Consider the following 8,859-nt stretch of genomic DNA (forward strand, 5'->3'; position numbering starts at 1 on the left):
GAACCTGGGGACAGAGGTTGCAGTGAGCCGAGATCGTGTCACCGCACTCCAACCTGGGTGACAGAGTGAGACTCTGTCTCAAAAAATAAAAAACCCATATTCTTAATTATGAAGCTATTTACTTCTTGTTTCTTGAGATTAAAGGCCTATTTTTAATGATTTCTTTATCACAATTAGTTTCTTGAAATTCAATTTGGGTGTGGGATAGGACTTAATTAATAGTGGATTTTTGATTTTGAAAAATGAATAAAAAATATTTTCAATTTTCTCCTGTCCTTCAAAGCTTCTGTGTTTTAGTGGATTTTATTAAAAATTTATAGGTAATTCAGAAGAAGTGGCTCTCTTTAAGGACCCAATAGGCTAGAGTGGTTTATTACATATTGTTTTAAGCCCCTTTCTGATCTAGGTCTCTCTCAGAACACCATCATTTAGGAGCTCATATGTCTTTCCTTTGTCAAAATAAGAAAAATTAGATCTCTGTCTCTAAGAAACCCTTCCTTGTCTCTGCGTTCACCAAACCTGAGCCTATCACAATAAATCTATGAGAAGCTAAGCCCTGATACCATGGGTAAGGGAGTCTGGGAGCTTAATTAGAAGATTAATTTCTTAAGAGATAAACATTGCCATTCTTTGACCTTTTAACTTTCAGTAGAGAACAGCAAAATTGACTATCTTCGCTCCCAGACAAGGGAATTACTCCCTTACCCATGGTATCAGGGCTTAGCTTCTCATAGATTTATTGTGATGGGCTCAGGTTTGGTGAACACAGAGATAAGGAAGGGTTTCTTAGAGACAGAGATCTAATTTTTCTTATTTTGACAAAGGAAAGACATGAGCTCCTAAATGATGGTGTTCTGAGAGAGACCTAGACCAGAAGGGGGCTTAAAACAATATGGAAGAAGTAATTTTTTGTTGTTGTTGTTCTGTGGGTTTTTTGGGTTGTTGTTAGTCTCTCTCTATAGTGAAAGGCAGAGAACAAGAATACTTTGTAGATTTGTCTCACATTTGGTAGAAGGCAGAAACTCTATGTTATGTAAAGTTAGTAGAATACAAGTGAGGTAGGCTTAAGTAAGGTAAGGCACATAATAATTGCTGAGATGGGGAAATGACTTTTGAATTCCTTCAAAAAAGTATTTTCAAAAATTATCTGCTGCTTCTTTGTGGTTTTCTTAGGTCACTGGACCTATTTGGGCTGGGGAGAACAACAGAGTACGTAAGAATTGAAATTCCTTATCATTTTCTTGATCTTACCCACAAAGTACATACTCCCTCTGAACTGTGAAGCTGGATATTCATGCATAGACTTCCATTTCCCTCTCCTCTCCTACTTAAATATCGGGAGACAATGACCTGTGGTGGAATGTTATATCCTTTCAGGCTGGTTTCTTGACGACTTTGTGTGTGTTTATGTGTGTTACAAATTTCAAACCAAAGTCCCAGTCATAATCCTGACAAGATCTCCTAATTTTTATTCCCCAGAGGCAAGTAGTAGCATCAGCCCCCTAGTGTGGCCTTCTCCTTTGGTCCCTTTGGCTAAGGAGTGCAGTGACCAGAAGGAGAAGGTTCATTCTAGGATGAACTAGAGTCAAGGTGATTGGTGTGCATTCTGATTTGGCTGATTTTCTTGACTAGGAGGATATGCAGAACAGACTGCTGTCTTGGGTTTATTGGTCTAGCAAATTGTGAATGCCATTTCAGCCAAAAACCTGCTTTTGTTAAGGAAACAAGAGGCTGAGGATATGGCTTGGCTTTCCCTGAAGCAGCCCAGCTAAGGCCACCTTTGTTCTAGAGCTTAGAGAGTGGGCAGCCAGTTCTTTGTGGCAAAACATGTAGCCCTAGGCTGACATTACTGGTTGTGTTACCCATCTTACAGGATCTGGTTGAGTCTCAGTGATTAGGTATCCAGTAGGTACTAAGACGGGCCAAAGTTTGTCCTGTCACTGGAATTTCTCATGAAGTCTGTGCTTTCTGTGATTTGAATCCTGAGTACTTCTGCTATTAGGAAAGTACTCAAAAGCAGCTTGACCCATTTATGCCTAGTGTTCCATTATTGGAACTCTAAGCATGTGGGAGTTATTTATATCCTACTGCTCAAGGTCATCGCCAAGCAGTAGGTGACCTCAAGCATAAATTGCAACCTCAGGCATAAATGGGTTAACAGAGCTCAGGTAAGTTAAGGTTTTCAAGTAGAAAAAGCAACTAAGCCATGAAAAAAATGTGAATGAATTTTCTTTCCTTTCTTTGGTTGCTGAAGTTCTATTAATAGGTGTGCTGTGGATTTAAAGACCAATCCAAGACTCAATCCAGGAATACCACATACTAGAGGGCCTCATTTTTCTGTATTTCACTGGATTTTGTTTGAGTGCCTGCTGTGTGCTTGGAGGCCCATCTTTGTTTGCCCCAGGTTAGATGACCTTCCCAGCCTACTTTTGCAGGTTTTTAATTTTCCATAATTTCCTCTATGTCTTTTTATTTACCTATCAAATGAACTACAAAATGGTTTCTCAAAAATATATAGCCTTTCCTACCACTGGGCCTTTCATCATGCCACTGCTTTTATCCAAATTCTAGAAGATATTTCCCTTCTGCCTCCAATCTTCACCTATTAAAAATGAACCAATTCTTCAAAGCCATCTCCTCCTTAAAGCTTCCTTAGTTACCCTATCAGGAAGTGATTTTACTTTTAATTCATAGCACTTGGTTTGTACTAACTGCCTTGCATAGCAATTCAATATTTGTGTCTATATATTCTGTCTCCTATTAGACTGACTCTATATTCTGAGTCTTCTGTGTTGTTTAGCTTTGGATATGTAGGCAGTCAGTGAATATTTGAGTGAGTAGGTGTTCCCAGCCTTTTAATTTTCCATCTTTCAAATAGACTTTACCAGGGGCTTTTCAACTGTTACCCTCAAACTGGCTCTCTAGTTCCTTCTTAGGCTGAGCCAACCAAACCTGCACTCAGTTTCTCTCTGCAAAGCCAGGGCTTTTCTCGTCTAGCCGACATGGTGCTGTGGGATAGATTATGGAGGCAGTAAGAGATCGTCAGTGACACATTAAAAACACAGTTATTTAATTCAAATTGAAGTGTTACATATTTTCCTGAATTTCCCTTTTTAGTTTCTAATCAGGCTTGGTGCCAGGAGGTTTACTTTTTAGGAAAACTGGAGGTGATTGCCTCTCACTACTTTTTTCTGTTTCTCTCCTTTGTCTCACTTTATTCCTTAGTATATTCTCTCTCTTGCCCTCTCCTGCTTTTCATATTCTCTTCTACTCCCAACCTCTTCTTTCCATGGATGCTTTGTTTCTTAATATTTGCCCTTTATTTCTTTAGTGTAGAAATGTTGTTAGCCTTTAGTAAAGTTGTAGAGTATCTCTGTTTAGCCTAGCAAAATAAACAAAAAGCAGACTATTATTTAGGAGTAATAGGTCACATGCAGGGAGAAAGTAAAACCTGTGGATTTGGGTTGTGGGCTTCTAACTCTGGCTGAGCTGCCCTCTCTGGCCTCAAAAGTGATAGGATTGTCTGTCGCAGTTGCCTCCTTGGAGACTGAATCTTGTTTCTCTGGGTTATGTGCTAATACTTTTCCTGCCAGAGTTTAGTAGACCTCTGGTTTTGTCTCCTTTGTTGCCTCTGCCCCTTCATCTGTATGCATGAATAGTCCAGCACTGACTTCTACAGACTTGCTCTTTCTGTGGGTTCAGAAAGAATTAAGTCTGAGTGGCATATGGTTTTGTCTCTGGGTCCTATTTTTCTTGTCTTCAGAACAACAGATGCATCAAGGGCTAAAAACAGTGCTTCCAAAGTCTCTTTTTCTTAATATATCATCAGAATGCTTTGTAAGCAGAATGCTTTGCATCCCTCTTGTTTGCTTTTGTTTTCAAGCTTTGCTACTCCTGCCCTGGTCAGTGGACTACTTGCTCCAAATGTCAAGTATTAACTAATACTTGTTCCTGACCATTTGAACATTAGCTTCTTTCTCATGTTGATATTTTTCCTCCCGGAGTTCTAATCCCTCTCCTCTCCTTTTTTATGTTCACATGTAACCATAAACTCAAATAGGAAAAGCTCATAAGATCATCTTACCCCTGTCTCCCATCTGTACCCACAAATGTTATTGAGAGTCCAATGCTCAGATTTTCTTCCTTACCTATAAAACCCACATGTTTGTGCTCTCTTTTAGTGGAATTCTTATCTACCAACTTGTCTAATGAAGCCAAGGGGGGTCATTTCCCTATTATCTTCAATATGGCCCCATGTTTTACAATTCTGTCTGGAATTTTCTTTTTCTAGTTCATTAACTCTTTTCTGTTTCCGCTGTATAGATGCAGGTCCTTATCTCCTGCCTGAGCAATTGTAAAAGCCTAATCTTACGGTCTTCAGGAGGTTTCCACTGCCCACATTGCTACAAGATTATCTTTTTTTTTTTTTGAGACGGAGCCTTGCTCTGTCGCCCAGGCTGGAATGCAATGGCATGATCTTAGCTCACTGCAACTTCCACCCTCTGGGTTCAAGCGATTCTTCCGCCTAAGCCTCCCTAGTAGCTAGGATTACAGGCATCTGCCATCATGCCCGGCTAATTTTTGTATTTTTATAGAGATGGGGTTCCACCATGTTGGCCAGGCTGGTCTTGAACTCCTGACCTCAGGTGATCCACCTGCCTTGGACTCCCAAAGTGCTGGGATTACAGGTGGGAGCCACCGCGCCTGGCCCCAAGATAATCTTTTAAAATTACTAACATGAGTTCATTTTGTGCTAAAAGTATCTCCATTTTGGGATGGTGAACATTCCTTTTCCTCATTGTAAGCCAAATAGGAACTTGTCAAGAAAGGACACGTGGAACCCTGTTAATCATACACATAAGGGTATGGTGTCAGATACGACTTCCTCTCTGTAAAACAGGCTTCAAAGCACTCTTAGGTTGAGCTCCCTTTCCAAGCACAGCGATGATTTGTAAGTGTGGTCTTTTTAGTTAACTTTAACAAAAAAACTGTAGCCAGTCAGGTGCTGGTCTGAAGGACAAATAATTCTACGAAATTGTAGTCACTGCTGTTGGATAAACTTGGCTGCATTGTCAGCAAGATCCCATTGGCAGTGCATAAGTTTTTTCTTCTCTCAGCCCATCCTCTGGATGGGAATTCTGAGCCTAGGGTGTAGGTGCTTGACAGGAATTGTTAGGAAAAGCTAACACTGCAGCAGCACAGTAAGAGTGCTGCTGTTCTCAGCTGCATCTAGAGCCTTTGACTTGATTTCCAGGCCTTGGCTTTGACCTTCCTGATTTCCAGGACCAGCTTCTGATGTTAGACCTGCTTATTTGGTTCAATCCATATGTTTAAAAGTCTGAAAACACCAAGACAACGTTAAATAAAAGTTTTGGGGTTTTTTTCCCCAAGATATGAAAAAGCTAACTTTTTTAAACCTCTGCTCCTTTCCCCTTTCTTTAATAACAGGGGACCAGACTGTATTTGTGACATTTAAAAGCAGTTTTTAATTATGGTTATGATAGTTGGAGAAGCAGAATTCCAAAGAATTCTACAGTGGGAAAATGCAACCTAGAGCTCCTCTAAGAATAAGCACTAAAATTAAACTAAGTATATATCTCATATGATAAGGAAGAGAAACTTGTGGGTATTAATTGAGACAGTTCTGCTCATGGCTCTGAGGTCGTCACTGGGCTCATGTGAAGCTCAGCTTGCTTTTGTTCTCAAGGTCCAGACTTGTTACTACTAAGTTAGAAGCAGAAATAATTCTGAAGAACTAAATAAAGCTGGGGTGCTTTGATTGAATGTGCTTATTCCATAGCTTTTGAAGACCCTGATAGTGCCGTCGATGACCGAGATAGTGACTATCGCAGTGAGACCAGCAACAGCTTCCCACCTCCTTACCATACAGCTTCCCAGCCCAACGCTTCTGTGCACCAGTTCCCTGTGCCGGTGCGATCGCCACAGCAGCTGCTACTTCAAGGCAGTTCCCGGGACTCTTGTAATGACTCTATGCAAAGTTATGACCTTGATTATCCAGAGCGGCGGGCTATCAGGTGGGTATTGAGCACAAAGTACTTTCTCTTCCTAATATCCAGGTCTCATGATGCAATTGGCAAGAAGAATTTGGATGCTTTAACCTGAAGAGGTAGCGTAAGTGTAGCAGTATCACCGGCCAAACTACAGTCATTTTGTGTAGATTATTAGTCTTTTTTTTCTTCCACATGTTTATACATTGCCATAAGGAATTTTATGTTTATATATTGCCATAAGGAATACTTCTCTTCATGATCAGTGATTCTCAACTGATCAGGGCGATCCCACTTGGGGTGTATCTGCCCCACTTCCTGACTCAGTGAGTTTGTTATACCCTTTGCCAAGATTAAAAACAGAAAAAATCACAGATTGGATAGTCCTTCTTGCCTAAATATTTCCCTGGGAACTTTAGAAGAAAACCAGTATGATTTCTTATAGCAGATTCAGTATTTTTACTGGAACTTTGTTTTAATTTATTTTATTTCTTAAATATATAAAACAATTATGTGGTTAAAAAATGTCAATACAGCATAAAGAGTTTCCCACCCACACTTACCTTCCTCCACCCCATCTTCTTCCTGTTTCATAATTCCCTTCCTACTGTTGTTTCTTATGTATCCTTCCATAGACTGTTGTCATATATTTATGAGTATAAAAGCAAGTACATACATATGTGCTCTCCCCTGCCCTAAGATTAAAAAAAATTTCAGACTTAAAGAAAATTTGGAGACATAATTCAATGAAAACCCATATTCATGTTGCCTAGATTTACCAGTTGTGTTAACATTTTACCACATTTACTTTATCTCATTCTCCCTAATATGTATTCATATACACATACATTTTCTCTGAACCACTTAAAAATAAGTTGCAGATATTGTGTTACTTCATCAGAAAGTATTTCAGCATGTTACTCCTAAGAAAAAGAACTTTATCTTATATAACCTCAATATCATGATCACACTCAAGAAGTTTAATGATGCAATGTTATTACCTAATGTTTAGACCATATTTAAATTTCTCCAGTTATCTCCATAATGTTCTGTATGTATATTTGTTCCTTTCTGGTCCAGGATCCAATCCAGAACCGTGATGCATTGCATTTGGTTTTCATGTTTCCTTAGCTTCCTTTAATTTAGCAAAAATTTCATTACCTTGGTTTTTTGGTCTTTTAAGAAGCTTTTTTTTTTTTTTTTGAGACAGAGTCTCACTCTGTCTCCCAGGCTGGAGTGCAGTGGCGTGATCTCGGCTCACTACAACCTCAGCATCCCCGGTTCAAGTGATTCTCGTGCCTCAGCCTCCGGAGTAGCTGAGACTACAGGTGCACGCCACCATGCCCGGCTAATTTTTGTATTTTTGGTAGAGACGGGGTTTCATCATGTTGGTCAAGCTGGTCTCCATCTCCTGGCCTCAAACGATACGCCTTCCTCTGCTTCCCAAATGGAATTACAGGCGTGAGCCACCGTGCCTGGCCTAAGACACATTTTTTTTTTGAAGAGTGCAGGCCAGTTGTTTTGAGAATGCCTCTTCGTTTGGTTTTGTCTGATTATTTCTTCATGTTTAGAATCAGGTTAAACGTTTTTGGCAAAAATGCTGGATGTTTCCTTCACATGCATTCAGGAAGCACATACTTTGTCTTTTTTTTTTTTTTTTTTTTGAGACGGAGTCTCGCTCTTTCGCCCAGGCCGGACTGCAGTGGCGCTATCTCGGCTCACGGCAAGCTCCGCCTCCCGGGTTCACGCCATTCTCCTGCCTCAGCCTCCCGAGTAGCTGGGATTACAGGCACCCGCCACCGTGCCCGGCTAATTTTTTGTATTTTTAGTAGAGACGGGGTTTCACTGTGTTAGCCAGGATGGTCTCGATCTCCTGACCTCGTGATTCACCCACCTCGGCCTCCCAAAGTGCTGGGATTACAGGCGTGAGCCACCGCGCCCGGCCCCTACTTTGTCTTATTATTGGTGATGTTTAGTTTGATCTCATGGTTAAAAAATTTGGTATATGCCGTATTTCTCCAGTGTAAAGTTTCCTCTTCTCCTTTGTAATTAATAATATCTGGAGTGATACCTGAGACTGTATCAATACTCTGTTTCCCCAATAGTCTTTTACTCAATGATATTAGCATCCATTGATCCGTGCCTGAATCAATTATTTTATTGATTGGAGGTTAGTTTTCAAGAAATCATTCCAATTTAGCTTATCCTTTTAGTTTCTAAAATTCACTAGACTGGCTAGGTGCAGTGACTGATGCCTATAATCCCAGCACTTTGGGAGGCCAAGGCGGGAGGATCACTGGAGTCCAAGAGCTTGAGACCAGCCTGAGAAATATAGTGAAACCTCATCTCTACAAAAAATAAACAAAATTAGCTGGATGTGGTGGCGCATGCCTATGGTCCTAGCTACTTGGGAGGCTGAGTTGGGAGAGATTGCTTGAGTCTGGGAGGTCGAAGCTATAGTATGCCAAGATTGCACCACTGCACTCCAGCCTGGATGACAGAGCAAGACTCTGTCTCAGTCAATCAATACAAAATTCACCAGACCATAGGATGATGTCCTTTTCTTGCCCACCTCACCAAACTGCTACATGGTGAGTTTAGACACAGGGTCTTGCGTTGTTGCTCAGGCCGGTCTTGAATTCCTGGGTTCAAGTGATCCTCCTGCCTTGGCCTCCGAAAGTGCTTGGATTACAGGTGAGAGCCACTGCACCTGGCCTTCTGGAAGATTTTTAGTGACTAAGTGTCTGCTTTGATCTTGCTTCTGTTTCCTAAATGAATGCTTTTGGATGTTATATCTATAAAGAACACACTGAACTCATAAGCTCCTAGCCTTTAGGTTCTTTCTCCATCC

At 40.7% G+C, this 8,859-nt stretch overlaps 1 protein-coding gene across 11 annotated transcripts in view, besides 1 other annotated feature; it reads left to right on the forward strand.

Moving 5' to 3' along the window:
* Positions 1–8,859, forward strand: part of UNC13B (unc-13 homolog B) — a 243,327-nt gene that overhangs the window by 127,887 nt on the left and 106,581 nt on the right. For 10 of the 11 annotated variants that reach the window (NR_170667.1, NM_001371189.2, NM_001330653.3 and 7 more), the window contains exon 8: positions 5,801–6,035. Coding sequence is in view for 10 of the 11 variants with exons in the window: in NM_001371189.2 (NP_001358118.1) it covers positions 5,801–6,035 (235 nt within the window). In the remaining variant the exon portion in view is untranslated. Of the gene's footprint in view, positions 1–1,173; positions 1,210–5,800; positions 6,036–8,859 lie in introns of all 11 variants that reach the window. The other variant, NM_001387551.1, reaches the window with a different exon arrangement.
* Positions 1,124–1,324: a silencer, noted in NCBI's record as "peak7230 fragment used in MPRA reporter construct". NCBI's record gives its function as "represses an SCP1 promoter by STARR-seq MPRAs in K562 erythroleukemia cells {active_cell/tissue: K562}" and the evidence as "EXISTENCE:reporter gene assay evidence [ECO:0000049][PMID:32103011]".

This window comes from Homo sapiens, chromosome 9 (assembly GCF_000001405.40).
Source record: "Homo sapiens chromosome 9, GRCh38.p14 Primary Assembly".
Taxonomy (NCBI): Eukaryota; Metazoa; Chordata; class Mammalia; order Primates; family Hominidae; genus Homo; species Homo sapiens.